Source organism: Homo sapiens, chromosome 7, assembly GCF_000001405.40.
Source record: "Homo sapiens chromosome 7, GRCh38.p14 Primary Assembly".
Taxonomy (NCBI): Eukaryota; Metazoa; Chordata; class Mammalia; order Primates; family Hominidae; genus Homo; species Homo sapiens.
This window is the reverse complement of record NC_000007.14, coordinates 86,750,352-86,769,215: the sequence shown is the minus strand read 5'-3', so window position 1 is coordinate 86,769,215 and position 18,864 is coordinate 86,750,352. Positions and strand designations below refer to the sequence as shown.

Below are 18,864 nucleotides of genomic sequence, written 5' to 3'. Positions count from 1 at the left end.
ATGGATGGCAATGCTACAGGCTGCACACTGTCACCACGGTTACCACACACCAGGTGTATGACCAGAATCAGTCACTGGAGCAGGAGCATGTGAGTATCAGAGGTACCCAGAGAAATCTTCTCTCCAAAAATGTTTCCCTCGTTAGTGTAAAAGAGGGCCTTAAATTCACCATTAGGAATTTATGGCTTTGGATTACCACTGACTATATTTTTTAGAATTCTTATTAAAGGACATATATGTTTCAAAGGAATAACACACTTTAATTCTTAGCTACATAACAGCCACCTAACAACTCTTATTATTTGTGATGCCTAGCTGAATACAGGACCCTGTATTGAAGGGTTCCTTGGAAGGGGGCATGGGGGTCAGTGTATAGCCTAATTGCTCCAACTCCTGGCTTGACTTGGCCTGGACAAGTCTGTGGCCTAATCAGAGTCTGACTAGTCAGGAAATGTTGGAGCCATGGAGGAGGGAATGGAGCCTTCTCTCTTGTTCCTTCTTATTCATGTCAAGGCCTTTATCCCCTTGTACATGGACGTCTCCCACAGTTTTCTGATTGGCCTCTTCAGATCCAGCATCTCATTTACACTGTCACCCTGTTAGCCTTTCTCCAATGCAACTTTCATTCTTACTCATCCTCAAAACCTTTCTAAAGGTCATTTCTTACTTTGTGAGCTACATGAACATATTCTGAATTATAGTTACTGTTATTTCAGAGCACATTGTACCCATAACCAGATTTTAAGTTTCTTGAGATCAGGGCTGTGTTCTATATGACTTTAGTGTTTGCTCTAACTCCTGTCACAGTGCAGTGCACACAGTAGGAGCTTAATACAGACTGACTTGCTGATTAACCATGTGGGAAACCAGCAATGACTTCATGGGACTGCTTGGGCACCAGAGAAGTCCACATAATTAGCTTTCGATATGGCTTTCCACTGACCTTTCCTATAATTTTAGGGACATAAGGTTACCATTTATTGAATCTGTCAGTTTTTGGTGAGGCATTTTCCACAGATTTTCTTAATTTATCTTCTCTCCAACTTTTTGAGGTAGATGATATTTTCTTCATTTTACAGATTAACCAGAAAACGGTGTAGTTGGAATTCAAACTCAGGTCTTTCTGTTGCCAAAATCTACACTGTTTCCATTATAGCATGATAGTTTTGGGTCTTTTATTTATGCTGTGAAGATAAGAACCTTATCAATGTTTGTGACTTCATGGTGATATTGACCAGATAAATGAAAAAAACCTAATGAGATAGGTCTTTCAATGAGTAAGAAGTGGCTTCTGACCTTCAGAACTAACTAGTACAGGGTTTTGGTAGCCCACATTTTTTCCTCTAAACTAGTCTGACTTCTTCCAGGAAGTAAATAGGTAGTAAAAGAGTAAAATTAGATTGTAAAAAGGCCATTTGCAGGGCACAGTTTCTCAATTACTTTGGATAAGTGGGATATTTACACATCTGCTGTAGAGTACCATTTATTGCACTAGGAGAAACTAAGGTGAGAAAAAGCGCATATATATAAGCCCTTACTAGTGGTAATATTGGGTATAATATAAATTCGTGAAATGACTGGCATTCATCTGGAAATTATGATTGAAGTATGGCAGACTATATATATACACATATATGAAATGTTTCATACTTCATTTATATATATATATATATATATATATATATATATATATATATATATGAAGTATGACCGATACTCTTTCCTCAAATAAAATAGCATTTTTCATCTCTCTTTATCCAAGTATAGAAAGAGTGGCAAAATTAACATGATGTGCTTTCATATGTGCAATATTTTCTATCCATCTAGTGAAACCTAAGGATGTTTATTTAAAACCAGTTATCCTAATTACTCATAACATGATGGTGTAATCTGAAGAAGGAAATAAATTTCAAATAGCTCATAGAGAACCACAAAGAATTATACCTAGAATTTTATTTTATGTATCTATCTATATATTTATCATTATTTACATTTTTTTTTTTGAGATGAAGTCTTGCTCAGTTGCTCCAGGCTAGAGGGCAGTGGCCTGATCTTGGCTCACTGCAATCTCTGCCCCCTGGGTTCAAGTGATTCTCCTGCCTCAGCCTCCCGAGTATCTGGGAACACAGGTGTGTCCCACTATGCCCTGCTAATGTTTTGTATTTTTGATAGAGACAGGGTTTCACCATGTTGGCCAGGCTGGTCTCAAGCTCCTGACCTCAGGTGATCTGCCTGCCTCAGCCTCCCAAAGTGCTGAGATTACAGGCATGAGCCACAGCACCTGGCCTATACCTAGAATTTTAAGTGCCACAAATGTGAGATAGAGAAAGAAGGTTATTCCAACGCAAATATAGCCAATTTAAGTGGTTCATGACATAAAAAGACAACATGAGTGTGGTATAGTTTCTTTTAGTGCTTGGGGCTTTGATTATAGTAATTTGGTGGGAGGCAAAGTGTATGACTCTTAGAATCATGGACTTTTATTACTGTGACATTAATGCTCTAATCAGAAAAAATACTAAACTTAAAGTAACATATAAATATCACATGGGGTAGTTAAAAGAACACAGAAGTACAAAAGATCTATCTGAGTTCTAGTTCTTGTACTTTCTACCAGTGGGAGTTTTCATGAAACCAATCTTTCTGGGGATTGGGAAAATGATGAAGTTAAGCTAGATGATTTCTCACTTATTTACTTCTATAAAATTTAGTAACCTTATAAGTAAGGATTGCAAGAGTATGTATATTTCTTCTTTCCCAACAAAATTATGACAGCCAATTATTAGCTTTATATTTAGTTTAAGTTATGTGTTAAATGTTTCCTTTTTTTTTTTAATGGTAGTAATCCTCTGGCTTCTCTGCATACATTTTTAGGTTTATATCCTGAGAAATTTTATTTGTATTTTATCTCTGAACAAAAAAATGCTTTAGTAAAAATTAGTGGGAATAATGGAGTTCCATGACATTATGCCTTCCTGTGTTTGATTGCATCAGTGGCTTCAAATTATTATTTCATCTTACCTTGATAGTCTGTTGCATAACTGCAGCACTTGTCCTGTGGGCAGGGCATACTTACCAGCTCCTTCACTCTGGATTGAGCCCTGTGAGTTGCTTTTGCTAATGGGATGTCAGCAGGTGCGAAGCAAGCAGAAACTTGAAAGAGCTTTGTACAGCTGAGTTTGCATTCTCTTGCACCTCTGCCATCACTCAGAGAACATTCCTGGGCTAGATGATCGATTCCAGGAGGAGGATAAGAGACAACCTGGAGCAGAGCTGCCCCCAGTGAAACCCAGCCTCCATTAGTTCACAGCATCTGATCTTTAGACTTGTAAACTAATAAATAATATTCTTATTTGAACCACTGAATTTTGGGGGTAGTGTTTAATGTTGCAATAGCTACCTGATATGCTTCTAAACAATTTTCATTGGTAGAAAAATCTTCTGCCTGCAAACCTATATTATCAAATTATAACTAGAAAAATTAATAATTGCATTGTTGATATAATCCGTTGATGACGTTATTATGATATTTTCCTTTTGTTCCCCCAACACATAAAAGCAAAGAGATACAGCCTTTTAGCAATAGCATTAGCCAATCTTACCTGTATGGAAACACTGCTATAAGAGCCACCAATGACCCCTGCAATGAGAAGTGGGATGTTTTCTTGAATGGCATAGGATCCATCAGGACACATATACTCAGCTTCATCCACTTTTGTCAAAGATGCCCTGACAAACTCCAGTGATTGCTCCAATGCATAGGTATCCCTTGAACATGTATCCAAAATGTGAACACCCAACTTCACTCCTGGTAGCAAGTAATCATCTTTGTTGATTTCATCAATAGCAAACAACATGGCTTCCAGGCGTTGAATCCCTCGGTCTTCATTGATTCGCCCACATTCTTCAGTTCCAGTGCCTTTTTCGTTAATAGGAAACAGGCCCCCTAAAACAAGGTCACCTTCTATTTTAATCTCTCTCCTTAGAAAGTTATGGTCCCCTAAAGAGAGTAAAAATCCCTTTGAAAACAAAGCTAAGGTAAGAACTTGCAGTCTTGTCAACATCTTCATGAATCCTGTTTCTGTACCTCTGGGAGATATCAATGGTGGAGCCAATGTGTCATGCTAGTCCTCTCTCATTTCCAAACTGGATCTTTGGCCTGTCCTTCAAATAAGGGAGGAACAGACTAACAGAGCCTGTCACAAAATTCCTAAAGAGATAAAAATTATATGAACAAAAATGGTAAAGAAAGCAACAGTGATTACATCGATCATGCCCAATCAGACCTTTAATGGGATGACTCAGAAAACCATTTACTAAACACACAGTACACCACAGCACCAGGCACTCTCTCACAGGTATTCTCACCCCATCCTTACACACTCTATGATGTAGTTCCTAGTGGTCCCATCTCACAGAAATGGGCACAGAGGGTCAAGGAGGTGACCTTACAAAGTGTACTTATTGCAGATTGGGTTTGGACTCCAGTTTTTTTGTGTTTTGTTTTTTTTTCTTTTGAAAGCCAAGTCCAGTACTCTCTCTACTGAGTCATTTACTTTGTTTTTGTTAGGGCAGCAATGTGGATGTGAGTTTATATCCCTTCTCTTTAAGCTGCATTTGTAAACTTACCTTTTTTATGGACTCTTACCCTTTCCATTTAAAACACAAGAAAACACAATGAACTCTGTTACCATTTCTGCATTTCTACCACTGCATCTCTGTCCCTCCCTTAATAGATGAACTATCCTAGCCCATTGAGGTTAAGAGTCTGCCTCAACTGCTCTAACAAAAGTGTTGTGGAAAAAGCTGCTACTTATTTCTAAATTGAATAAACTATAAACTCACTGTAGTTCTCATTTTACTTGACCTTAATTGAAATCTTGACTATTCTCTACCTATTACAACTTCCTAGGTTTCTGTTATCATGCTTCATCTTGACAACATCTCAAATTCCATTGTTTAACACCTTCCTTCCCCCATCCTCCCACTACCTCTCCCTGGGCCAACTCATCTATTTTCAGTTTCAACTACCACTTAAATGAGCTCCATACTTCTTAGGTCAACTGCCTGTTAAACAGCTTTACCCACACATCCTTCAGACACCTCAAAGTCTGCGTGTCTATGAATGGATCTTCTCTGTTTCCAGGCTCTCAGGCCAGAAATCTGCACCCTAGAGTCTTCTCCACTTCACCCCCTGCTACCATCTTTCAATTAGCCACTATGCCCTGCAGAATCTAACCGCTTAACATCTCCCAAAGCTACCACTTCTTCCTTATCCCCACTATGCTGAGCTCTTGTAATTCGTAGCAGGACCCTAGCAATAAATTCCTAGAGAGCTGCTACCACCCCCCAAAGCACTGTTTTGAGCATTAGACAAAGATACCCCCTTTAAAAGTACATGATTTCTCAACTTTTTGTTGTATAACCTGTACAACTATAGATGATGGGGCAAGTGTGATTGCTGGTGGCTGCCTCCCCTATCCAGAGTGAGGCAACTCCTCATTTTGTCGTCACATCTCAGGTAGTGCAATGAATGCCAGTGCTGGGGTGCACACAGTTGACTGTAGCTACTGTGAATTGAGCATCTTTTTACATTCTAGGCTAGAACGTATGAATCTATTGGGAATCAGGCAAAGCCTTGCTGTGAGGATCATGTTTTGGACAGTAGTCTGGGATCTTTCTAGAGAGCTTTCCAAAACTCTGGTGTGGAGTAGTCTAGTTGCATGCACACATGAACCTATGTACCTGCTGTTGAATTCTTTGACACTCAGCTTTCTAGCACTAGAGCAAACACTTGGTCAGCACATTCACACAGCCTGCTTACTTCTATCCCCCAAGATAAGATGAACGTATTATTTTCAGAGTCAAGTGAGAGATCTGACTGCATCAGACTCCTGGAGCATTCTTCTGACAGGTTGCAGCCACATGCCCTTGTGTGTTCTAGTTGAGCATGCCTGTCTGCTTTTCAACCTTCACACATGATTGTGTGTTGGAAGGGTTTTATGAAGGAAGGGCCCTCCTAGCTGGTCCAAGACTCAATCAAGATGCCTAAAAGCCACACTATTCATGTGCTCTCAGATAAATTAGCAAATGTTAGCAATTTGAATGATGTCTCATTGGGGGAGACACTCTAATGCACAATCTCAATTACTATTCAGAGTAGCCCATCTTCTATCAATGTATACTGAGTTTCCCTTGCCCACAGATTTAAGAATTAACTAATTATAAATCTCTTCTCAGTGCTTTATGATCTTGTCCCTGGCTAGCTCTAAAGTCCTACTGCTCACCATGCTTATCTGCATGGGCCTACCTCTGCCTTCAGATCTTAAGCTGCAGATATATTGAACTATGTGCACTCAGTAGGTGTTTAGGGTGTTGATGACCCCTTGCTTTTGCTCATGCTGTTCCCTTTTGCCAAGAATGTCCTTCTATACCAATTTCTCCAGCAAATAGCCACTTACCAATTTAAGACTCAACAGTTACTACCAGGAAAGATCAAGTATTCTGTCTTATCTCCCTTCCCCAATCAAACTGTTGACTTCTGGCTTTATATTCCTGTTGTAGTTTGTTCAAGAAATGTTTGCTATTGCTATTTTGATTTATATTTGTTTTCTTGTGTGCTCATTGAGAATTAATGAAATGGCACAGCATTTAGAATTTTTTAGGTGCCAAGGAAGAAAAAAACTCAATGAAACAAGCAAGACAGGAGCTAGTCCAGTGTTTACTTCAACATTTTTGACATTTCTCCCTTTTCATATTAGCAGTGCCCTTTAAAACACAGATTTCTGCTTACTTTCTGTTCCTTTCACATGCAGCGAATGATGGGCTGTTTTCCTGAGCCACAGAGTCAGCTGGGGTATGTTTTGTCTGTTTGTTTAGGTGTGAATCTCAGCACTGATGGCAGCAGCCATTGGAATGCTCAGTATTAACTCAGAGCCTCCCTGGGAGATCTGCCACAGGGTACCAGAAAGTCTAATAATAATAATTTTTTTAAAAAGTTGATACTGTAGTAGAATTTTTTTGTTTCATATCAATTTCTGGTCTCTTTGATCTTTACGTGCAATTCCCTTTGAAGAAAAACTGCCATGGAAGGCAAAAGACACTGCGATCATTATCGCTAATGATAAAGATGCAGAAATTTCTCTATAAAATAATTGTTTTATGTGCCTAGTAAAACAGAATAGCTAATTAAAAGAAGGCCATCAACACAGGCTGACCATGTGTCTTTGCAAAAAGTGTAGACATCTTTTGAATGTAAAGAAAGTTTGGCTACTCAAATAAAGATTACCTTATAGTCTATAGAAAGCTTAATTCTCTGTTGGGAAAGGGCTCTTAGCCAAAAAAGACTTCAAATGAAACACAGCATTACGCTGAAAGAAATAGTCTCTCCTGTCCAAACTGGATCTTTGGCCTGTCCTTCAAATAGGGAAGGAACAGATTAATAGAGCCTGTTACCAAATTCATAAAGAGATAAAAATTATATGAACAAAAATGATAAAGAAGGCAACAGTGTCTATCAGTTTACCTGTTTCACAGGTAAGGACTGTGTTTTATTTCTCTTTGTTTACGTTCTGGTATAGTAAAAGAATTCAACGAATGTTTCTTGAAGGAATATAGACATCCATGATATCTATGTTTGCACATGACCCTTTACTATTTTATTTATGGTATGGGAAATGGGAATTAAATAAGAGAAATACATTATTTTTGCTTCATTACCTACCTTGTCACATCAGATGCATTTCCCCTATTGCACTCTTTGATGGTAGGGTCACCAACAGGTAGAAATATAGTAATGAATTTGTATCATGCAAGAAAAAATACTGCCTTTGTACTTGAATATTGCAACTGAGACTGGCATCTAGGAAGCCAGGAGAGATGTAGACCTGAACTGACCTACATTTACTGCTTAAGTTTTTGGTCAGGAGAATACTAAATAAGGAATATGCACATTCTTCTATCTCAAAGCCTCAGAGACACATTCACTTATGAAATATTTATTGAACACCCACTATGTGTGCACTAGGCTATGGGTTGGATACCCAGGATATATACTTTAGTTGTAAACAAATGAACATCATCCCTGCTGTCAAATAACATTCTAAATGCTTACACATTTTTATATAAAGAGTGATAGAAAAGTATGCATCTCTGTTTTTATGAACTATTTTCATCATTAGTGAAAATCTTGAAAGTTTGTATACCATTGGTTTCCTTCAACATGATAATTGTTAAGTGCTATACTCAAAAACTGATTTATTCATACTACATGTGTTATATAAATTTAAAAATTAGATATGCAGACCATAAAAATAAGTTGGGGGATGACAATGTCATGTAAAATATTTTTTCCTTTTAGCTCTGTGACAGGGCATATCTAAGTAACATTTAATGTCATTTTAGAGAATTACAAATCAAAAATCAATTAATGTTTAAATACACTGTATTTTTATTTACTTTTTCTTTATAGCAGAACTTATAATGATTAATACTGTAGCACTATGCATAATCAGAGACAATTAGCACTGTTTAAAATGAAGCCCTAAGAAAGTTAAAAAAAAAAGTAACATTGAAAAATAGACAAACATGTTTAATTCAATGCCACTGTTATCTCTGTGTAACAGTTTATCGGATTGTGTGAAAGGGCACCAACCACCTCTTTTCCGGTTCTTTTCATTATAAATCAGCCAGCAGCACATTCCTCAGATAAACAGGCTCCCTACTGCAGCCACATTCATATGCAGCTGGAGAATTGCATCTCTACAGTCAAAGTTCTCCATTCGGGGATGATGAGTGATGCGTCAACTGTAAACAAGCATGTGTAGCCCTCTCTGTAGGCAACCTGCTCACCAATGTTTTATTAATTCATGCATTAATAGAATCTCAGATGTTTGCTATGAATATAACCCCTGCAATATATGAACTGAAAGCATTTCTGTACTCTGCATATGATAATATGTCTTTTCATCCATTCTTTGCTCAGGGACTCGGTGTCGGAAATGAAATGCACTTTCAGTCAATACAAAAGTAGTTTATCCAGGGAAAGGAAAGGGTCTACCTGGGAGATAAAATGCCAGAAACCATACATACTCTTTCCCAGAAATAAATCCTTAAGTTGCTGAAGGGTTTCTGAGAGTGCTCAAATCCTGCACACTCAATCAATCTGGAACAAAGTTAGGGTTAGTCCTAGTATGTGCAATTTGATTATGATTCTGTAATTTTTCAGCTGTCAGTATTATGGGCAACAAAAGGCATAGCCGTTGCTCTAGACTGCCATTTTCAGCTGGGTAAACAAACAGACGCTGTAGCTATATTGGCATTTTTAATAGGAGATATGCCATTGCATGACTGTAATTCTTTTACTAGAGAAAAAGGGTATTTTTCCCCAGAAGTCTTAGGAAGCTATTATGAGTAGCTCATCATTTCAAACCCAATCATTTTTAGTAGATCTACCTTAAAATTTCTTTTCCTTGTAGCCTTCCATGTTACTCCACTGTAAGGGGTTCCTTCATTTGCTAAATTCCCATATACTTTGTGCTATGTTTATCATGAGGATCATATTTTGTCTTGTGTTTTATTTGCAAAGTTTTTAAATTGAAAATTATTCTTACTTTACCATTAGTTTGTAAACTACTATATATCAAGGAGCATACTCTAGATATTGTTGTATGTTCCACAGTGCCTCACACACAGTTGTCAAAAGTTGGTTAAATAATAAATTCCCAGTAGCATGCAAGTTTTAGAAAGATTGATCAGGAGATTGAAAAAATAATTTGGAAATTTCATTCAGATAACAAAGATTGCTAAAAAGATCTGTCATTTTCAAAATGACATTATAGTAGGGCAAAATTCAACTTTGGCCCTGGATAAATTTGACCCAAATATCTTTGATCTGACTTTGTGATGCTGAATTGCCGGTTGATTTTTTACAGGAAGAAAAGTATAAATTAAAACTGGAAATTTTGAGAGCATTTAGAGAAAAAAGAATTAGAATACATGTTATTGGTCTGAGAGGGGTTAGGAGGAATGGAAAACAATACATCAAATGACAGGTTAAGTTCCTTCAAAGTATGAAGGACGGGGCAGAATAGAGGAGGCCAGGCTTATGCACTAAGATTTAAAGTTAGGGAGAAGAGTTCTGCTTTCCTTCAAATTTTCTGAGTTTAAGGCTGTTTGAAATCCCACAATGTGTGTGAAATTTTAAACAACAAAAACATTAGGTCAAATCATGGGAATTAATTGATAAGACCCTCTTATATAAACCTATTTTATTAATAGATAAAATGAAAACACCCAAGAACCCTGGGTATGTTGAAGAGAGGGACGTTGCCAGTCGGCATATTGGAGCTGAGAAACGGATGGTGATGAGGCCAAAAGAAGAAAGGCCGACTTCACTATTCGACCTTGACCAAAAAAACTAAGTAAGGTAAATTAAAAAATAAAAATCACATCTCCTATTCATCTCCTATTTTCTTTATCTTCTGAATTTAGAGGAAAATGATTTTATGAGGTAGGCAAACAGATTGTCCTAAACTTTGGTGAATGCTGGTAATTTACTTCCCATCAATAGTATTCACTTTGTTGAGTGACTCAGTATAGAATATATTGCAGATTTATTCGCTTCCCTTCAAAGTAAACCTTTATTTTCCTAAGCATCAAAATGCACAGTATTTTCATGGTATGTGTGCACGTACACATGTGTGTGTTGCCATTTCAGCTGCTTTAGCATCCTCAAGTTCCTTACCCTCATTACAAAGCCTCTGAATTAGAGCCTCTCCAAATTCCCTGTGATCCACCTTTGTCCTTTACCTCTTCCAAGCTGCAAAGTCTAATAGAAGTTTCAGGTTTGTCAGCATAAACCGAGTGTAGAAACTGGATTTCTCAAAAGCTTTCTCTCTAGCTCTGGACAAAATGGTGAAGGAGCAGAAATGGAGGAATACCATTTTTAGGAGGATATTTTTACCAATTGGCAATATGACCCATCAAGTGGCTATTATTAATAATTTCCTAGATGTATACAGTCCCTTTTTATATAATTTCAGAGTATTCTGCATAGTGAATTAACTCTTCTGTTTCCTGGTAAGAAATAATTATATCATCTATTGCTAAGTAGAGAGTGAGAGAGGGACTGAGAGAAAGAGTAAAGCAAATTGCTCAAGATGGTAGTCAGCAGTAATAAATACAGAATTAGGATTTAGGAAGACGTTACCATTATTGCTCCAACAAGTCTACAAAACAGAACATATGTCACACATGTCTTTACAAAGATATCACTTCTATCATTCACATATTCCTGGTGACCATTCCTATGACATGGTTACTAGGAGAAGTCAAGTACAGATATTGGACTGTTAACTGGATTTACCCTCCTGCTGAAAATAACTACAAAATTGTAGAAAAAATATGAAGCAAACTATGATCTTTGACAGAAAAAAAAACACATGAGGGAAACCCCATGGTTACCCCATAGATTCCCCAGTATTCTGCACAGGGCACTTTCCTGCCATGTAGCAGTGGCAGTCTTTCTGACTTGAGGAGGCAGGGATTATTTAATAGAATTCTAAGCTGCTAAAGTGGTTGCTATTTGTGGGGCAGTGAGCTGCATGGAGTTGGTGGGCAGATCTGAGTGGTCATCCACAGGGTGAGACTCAGTGAGGCCTGGCAGACATATCCGAGAGGTATTAGAGTTCCAAGCCAGCCGGAGTGCAGAGATCAAACTAGGCACTTTGTGCTTTTTATTAAAACCTTAGAAAGACTGGCTGTACTCTATTAGTAAAGGCCAAGCTCTGGAATTAGGGCCATGTCATAGGACTAAGTATAAAACAGACCTGTCCTTATAAAGAATGAAACTAAGTCTAACAAAAGTAAAATGATCCACCAGTATTTATTTATGTGCCTGTTAGGACAAAACTCAAACTCTTAAAGAAAGATGACATAATTCAGACTGCCTACAAATATATGTCCTATAATAACCAGCATGTAAGTATAAATTGCTTGACATATAAGACAACAGAAAAACAGCACCCAGAGCAAAGAGAGAAAGCATTATTTGAAATAAGACCTGAAATGGTGCACATTTTGGAATTAACAGACAAGAACTTGGACTATTATAAATATGTTCGAAAACACAACAAAATGAATGAATAGTTGGGGAATCTCAGCAGAGAAGGGAAACTATAAAAATACTATATGGAGATTCTAGAACTCAGAAGTACAATATTTAAAATAAAGATTTCATGACAGGAGGCAACAGATTGGAGAGGCAAAATAATAAACTTGAAAATGGACCAAAAGAAATAATCTAATCCAATCAGAGAGAAAAAAGATAGAAAAGAAATTCAACAAATCTTCAGTGTCCAGTTGGACAATATTTAGTAGTCTAACACATGCAAAATTAATGTTTCAGAAGGAGAGATGAATGAGAGAAAATACTTGAAGTAATGGCCAAAAAATTCCCCAAATTTGATGATAAACATAAGATTACAAAACCAAGGAGCTCAGCAATTCTCAAGCAGGATAAATATAAATAAAACCATATGTAGTTAAATCATAGCCAAATTGATTAAAGTAAAGGTAAAGGAAAATCCTTGAAAACAATCAGAATAAAGCAGCACATATGTGTAATGTAACAACAATATTAATGATAGCTGACTTATCAGAAAAAATAACTTAATGAAATGGCACCTTTGAAGTTCTGGGGAAAAACTGGTCAAGCACCACAGAATTCTCTATCCAGTTAAACTATACTTTAAGAAGTTGAAATAAAGACTTTTTATAGGCAATTAGAACAGACATTTCACAATTAGTAGACTTACACAATCAGAAATGCTAGAGGAGGGCCAGGCACCGTGGCTCATGTCTGTAATCCCAGCACTTTGGGAGGCCAAGGTGGGTGGATCACTTGAGGTCAGGAGTTCGAGACCAGCCTGGCCAACATGGTGAAACCCCGTCTTTACTAAAAATACAAAAATTAGCTGGGCTTGGTGGTGTGTGCCTGTAATCCCAGCTACTTGGGAGGCTGAGGCAGGAGAATCACTTGAACCCAGGAGGAGGAGGTTGCAGTGAGCAAAGATCACGCCATTGCACTCCAGTCTGGGGGCACAGAAGTTAAACTCCATTTCAGGAAACAAAAACAAACAAACAAACAAAGAAATGCTACAGGAATTACTTCAAAGTAAGAGGAAACAACACCAGATGGAAAATCAAACCTACAAGAAGGAATGAACAATACCAAAATGGTCAATATGTGGGTTAATACAGAAGAAAATCTGTAAGTCTAGACATTAGATATTGTTAGCTTAATTTCATAAAAGCTATATTTGTCACAAATTTTTTTAAAAAGTGAGAAAAGTTCCACTACCATTTTGTTTATTTTATGGTTTGATTTTACTTCTCTCTGTATATATATGTTTGCCTTCATCCTATATCCTGTTTGCTGGAAACCCCCTTAGGCATTCTAGAGCCTTCTACTAAAAGAGCCATCCCCATAATTCAACAGCCATGTTTCTGAAAGTAGCATTTGAGAGAATATTTTTCTTTAATTTTATTGCTGCTAATAGATTTAGTCAAGGCTTAAACCCAGCTGGCACACACTGGTACAGCCATACCAGTTGTTAAAATATTTAAATATTTCCATCAAGTTGGTGTATAGCCAATCCTACCAAGCCCTTTGAGCATTTCTCCATCTTTCTGGCTATTCTGGTCCCCTCTCTGGCATATCTCCACCTACCCTCTCCCATCCTTAACCCCCATATTTCCTTATGACCCAGCAACTAAAGGGTTAGATTCTGGCACAGTAGGGTCTTTAGTTTCCACTTCCAAGGTTATGATTACTGCCCATTTCGATAACTTGATACTAGTTGTTAAGCCTTTTGAATGTCATACCTGAATTGACTTGCTGAATAAAATTTCAACATTTGGGAAGTTTCACTTTTAAGCAAAATCCCAATCAGCTAAAACAGAGCTGAATTTTTCCATTTTGGTCTGACAGATTAGCATCCATTTCCTTTTTTTTTTTCCTGGAAACTACACCACAGTTTTCCTTCGGGAACCAATGCATATGCTTCTAAAGTGAGGTGAATTCATTCCTGGCTTGATGGGTGGCTTATGACACACCTGATTAACCAGAGTCAAATGTCCCTGGCTACTGCAGTTGGTTAAGGAATGAGCCTGTCACCAAATCATTGCCAAGCAGGATGATTTAAGAAAATTTTTCAGAACCACTAGGAGGAAAACATCCTCTCTCTGGTAGAGTGGCTTAAAAGAATGCATGTAAGCTCTTGTAAGTATGGGAGCTGCTGGTGGGCATCTTACCACCATGAGACAAATGCCTGTCTGAGAATAAACACAGAGAAATGCAGAGCCAAGGAATGGGGATATAGTGACACCCGTGCTGCTTAATCCATCTAAAATTTCCCAGTAACATGAGACAATAAATTCCCTTTTGGTTTTGCTGAAATCAGTTTGAAATTGGTTTTATATAACTTGCCCAAAAAGATTCCCAAATAGCCTCTCTCTGTCTTTCCCATACCCTTTACATTAAAGATAATAAAATTTATTGGGCACCTACTATGTGCTAAAACTATGGTTAATGTTCTACATAGATTATTTTATTTAATCCCATAACTTTTATCCCATTTATACCCTTACATATAGATGCCATCTCAGATGGCCACAGGCTTCATGATGGCTCCCACTGTGCTACTGTATTAATGACAGCTCTTTCCAGAAATTCAGTGACTCCAGAATCATCTTTTCTTTATGCTATTATCAGAAGTCCCATATTCTCAATTCTCTTACCACAATCAAGTCATCTGATATATTAAACCACCAGTTTTGGCACATTAATGCAAGTTAATTTGTTACCCATTTAGGGATGATCAAATTTTTGAATGGCCCAAAACACAGGGTTAAAACATTAAAGAGAGAGACATTTTTAATCATGGAATTGTAGATACCTTTGTGTACAGATAGTAAAGTATCAAGGCCTAACTGATGTTCTTCAAGTTATAGCATGTATGAACCCCATACTCAAATAGAAGTCAACTTGTGTATATCAGATACTATGAGATTTCAGGCTTAGAATAATCCTGATCTCATCAGATAGACAATTAAATGCCATTGATAAGTTAAACCTGGCGTAATGGAACTCTCCTATCATTTAAGTGACCTTAGAACATATTTTTTCAGTTCTGCTTAGCTGGAAAATTCTGTGGACAATCATTAGTATGCAGTAGTTGGCTGGTACCATCTCTCAAAAACCAATTACACATATCTCTTCCCAAGGCTGTGTTCAGTGTCACCATGCTGGCACCTTAAAATTGGCCGTGGTGAGAGCGCTTACATCACAGAAATCAGCAAACACTAAAAATCAGTCCCTCCATAAGTTCCCAAGATTTGATTGTTAAATATTTACCAGCACACCACTGGTGGTAAATTTAACAATGCTCTTATAAAATCCATTCCTAGAAAATCAAGTAGAAATTGATTGGGAAGGCAATATGGTATAGTACCTTAGATCAGAGTTTTTCTAACTGCAGATCAAATTTTCACAACCTATTCAAGTGTCATAATCCATATTAGCAAATCACAGCGAGCATTTTAAAAGGAAATAGAAGAGCTTAAAATATAATAAAAATATCAAAATATGAATATAAGGCATTTATGTAGAAAGGGTGAATATTATTTTCTAAGATATTTTGGTGTGTATGCATGTGTATATGAATATTTATTCTGGGTTACAATGTAAAATAATTTCTTACTGGGACATGTTAAAAAAACATTTTGAAAGCCACTGTGTTAGGGTTTGGCCTCTTCAGTGAAATGTTTGAATCTACTTCATGATGTCAGCACATGGCCACCTCTTTGGCTCTCATTTTATATATGTGTAAAATGAAGACAAGAACAATACCTATTTCATGTTTTTTTAGGATTAAATGAAACAAAACATAACATTAGCTCAATAACTGTTAGCTATTATTAAAATTGTTGGAGTGAGGATAATTTATCAATGACTCTAATGAAATTGGGGGTGTTCTGGACTCTCCAAATGATCCCCATCAGCTAGCATTCTGCCTTTCTTCTCATTGAGGTGTAAGGTGGTGTGTGATCTTGGGGAACTGCTGGCTGTGCGGATGATGCAATGAGGGAATCAAAGTTCCAAGGTCTCCAGTAAATTCTGAATTGTTTAGTGTTTATGGGTGCTAAATACCATAATATGCCAGGAGAAGATGGAAAGTGATCATCTCCTTCTCCTCAAAAGGACACATGTGCTCACACTCAGTTGATATATTCTGTTTCTCCAGAAAATGTTAGCATCCTTACTCCCTTGATCCTCTCCTGTTGTACTGAGTTTTGTTAGAAGGGGGCTGGGCACGTCTTATCCTGAGTCAATCTGGACTAGGACATTAACTGACCCCTAATGTCAAAAGAAGAATATTTCCTAAAATTCTGGTGTCCAAGTTGTTTCTGACTTAATTTTCACTATCCCATCACAATAGAGGCCTTAGTTATAGGAGGTTTGGGTCCTCTATAACACTTATTAGTCTTTAAATTCCATGGCAACTACTGTGCCTGTGACAGCAAGTCTGGGCTGTCTTCTGCCCTCTTGTCCTTGATGAGTTTCAGGGAATATTGACCCCTACTATCTTGTTGTACACATTTCAATGTAGGAATCTCCCAACACAGATATAATTTGAGACAGATTTTCAACTAACAAGACTAACATATCTCTTGTATAGCTTTCAACTTTTAAACTGGTTCTGATTTTACCTGTGCTTTAAAAAGACTAAGAATAACACAAAGCCTTCATATAACACAGCTTCTAGGTTTGCTTTCCTTTCTTTGTATTATACTCAAATTATGGGCATAAAATTATGGCATGTGTATGTTACACAAGGGCCCATTTCTCCAAGTAATAAAGGCAGAGCTAGGCACCAAAGAGTGCGTATTGCATGAATCCATTTATATAAAAGCCTAAACATACCAAAGTTATCTACAGTATTGTAAGGTCAGACAGATTTTACTCTTGTGAATATGAGAGGTTACTGACTTGTAGGAAGCCTGAGAGGGTTTCTCGAGTGCTGGCAAATTTGTGTTTCTTGATCCAGACTTTTGTTTCATGAGGTGTGTTCAGTTTGTGAAAAGTCATAAAGCTGTGCAATTATGACATGCATTTTTCTGTATGTATATTACACTTCAATGAAAATTTAAAATAACAAAAGCAGGTCTGAAGTGAAAAAGAATGGCTAGTGTGGCTGTGCATTTTTTAAAAATGACAGTATATAACAAATAGGTCACAGGAGTATTGACATGAATTTGCAACTGTGGGCTTACTAACAGCACTAACTCTGATGAGAGAATCCTCTAATGCCTGGTGAGAAGTCCTAGAGGAAGATGAGATGCCATACCTCACTGCAAGTGAGTGATGGGCGTGCAGAGGCCTCCTTCTCATTATAATAGCAAGCCAGTCACTTTGTTATCCTTTCTGTACACAAGCAGAAACCATGAGTCTGGGTGTAAATGACAAATACTACCAGTGACACACTGCCTGACATTTGGAACTTGCAACTTTATAGTTTAGGCTGCATGGGAAGAGAAAGGTGAAGAGTGAGTTCCAATCAGAAGATTCTAAGTCAGGCAACTGTTACTTTCACAGCTTGATTTCTGAAAAGTGAATGAAATTATACTGTGGTTTTACTATGTTCCACTGTTCAAAAAATTATGTTCAATGATTTAAACAAAATTGCTTATTATGTCTATTATGTGCCAGGCCCTGTGGTAGGTTCTAAAGATACAAGGAGCAGTAGGACGGCATCTCTGCAAAATACAGTAAATGAAGTTTGTTGGGACTCTGATAACAATTAACAGCTAAACAAAACATAACTCAAATTTATTTTGGCAGCACACTCCAGTGTGACACATCTGAAGAGGGCCACAGCCTCCTCCTTCATTGCCGTAATTGGTTGCTTCTACCATGAAGGTTGGGATAGATTACCATTTCCAACTGGATGGGCAAACTGCATGGCAGAGCTTAAGAGCTTCGGATTACTACTGCTCTTTCCAGATGCAGTTAACCTTTGAATGTGGCTGTCTTGCCCACGGTGATACCTGATGCCATTTCAGACAATGGGGAAATTGATGACAGCAGAGATCAACTCACTGGTCTAAGATTAAAATATCAATAGGTGGCAGTCATAAGAATATATTTCATATATCCACTTCTATTATTTTCCTTATGCCCTATATTTCTAGTTACAGTGGACTCTCATATTTAAAATGTTCACACAAATTGTATTGAAAGTTGGTTTAAATTATCCTCCCTATCCTGACCTTTTAGGTATACATTCTTTTCTCTGTACTCAAGCTTTCGCCAAGTCCTAGTTGCTGTTTTGCTCACAGTAGCTCCAAGTTTGGCTTTCTTTTCTCTGTTGCTATTTTTAGATAACATCAATCTTTTATTGATCTTTGTTTCTGATTGTTGCAACCTTCTTCCATTCAGATTTCACACACTTTTTTTTTTTAATCTACTTTAGTCTATTTAAGATATTGCTCTAAACTTGTATTCTTCACCTGTGGTCACTTGAACGATGCAAATATCTCTTGTCACTCTAAATTTCATCTTAGCAGCACCAGTTTCAATGATTTTATCCATTCACTTCTTTTCTCTTTTACGGCCCAATTTCTTTAGTGGCTAGGAAACACTAAGATAACTCCTCATGCTTTTTCTTTTCATTCCTAACACAGCATATGTTTCCAAGTCTGGGCAAGCTAATTCAGTTACTTAGCCCATAGAACTAGTAAAGCCTACATCATTTGATTTGTCCAAGTTGCATTATTCTAGACAAAACTGGTGTTACATATTTG

At 37.3% G+C, this 18,864-nt stretch overlaps 1 protein-coding gene across 4 annotated transcripts in view, besides 1 other annotated feature; it reads right to left on the bottom strand.

Moving 5' to 3' along the window:
* GRM3 (glutamate metabotropic receptor 3) overlaps window positions 1-18,864 on the bottom strand; it is a 220,971-nt gene that overhangs the window by 95,664 nt on the left and 106,443 nt on the right. For all 4 annotated transcript variants that reach the window (NM_000840.3, NM_001363522.2, XM_047420268.1 and 1 more), the window contains one exon: window positions 3,603-4,210. In NM_000840.3, the coding sequence (NP_000831.2) occupies window positions 3,603-4,070 (468 nt within the window). In that variant the 5' untranslated portion in view covers window positions 4,071-4,210. The remainder of the gene's footprint in view (window positions 1-3,602; window positions 4,211-18,864) is intronic.
* Window positions 8,447-9,021: an enhancer, noted in NCBI's record as "OCT4-NANOG hESC enhancer chr7:86389511-86390085 (GRCh37/hg19 assembly coordinates)". NCBI's record gives its function as "activates a minimal SCP1, AML or CMV promoter by ChIP-STARR-seq in primed H9 embryonic stem cells {active_cell/tissue: H9 hESC(primed)}" and the evidence as "EXISTENCE:reporter gene assay evidence [ECO:0000049][PMID:30033119]".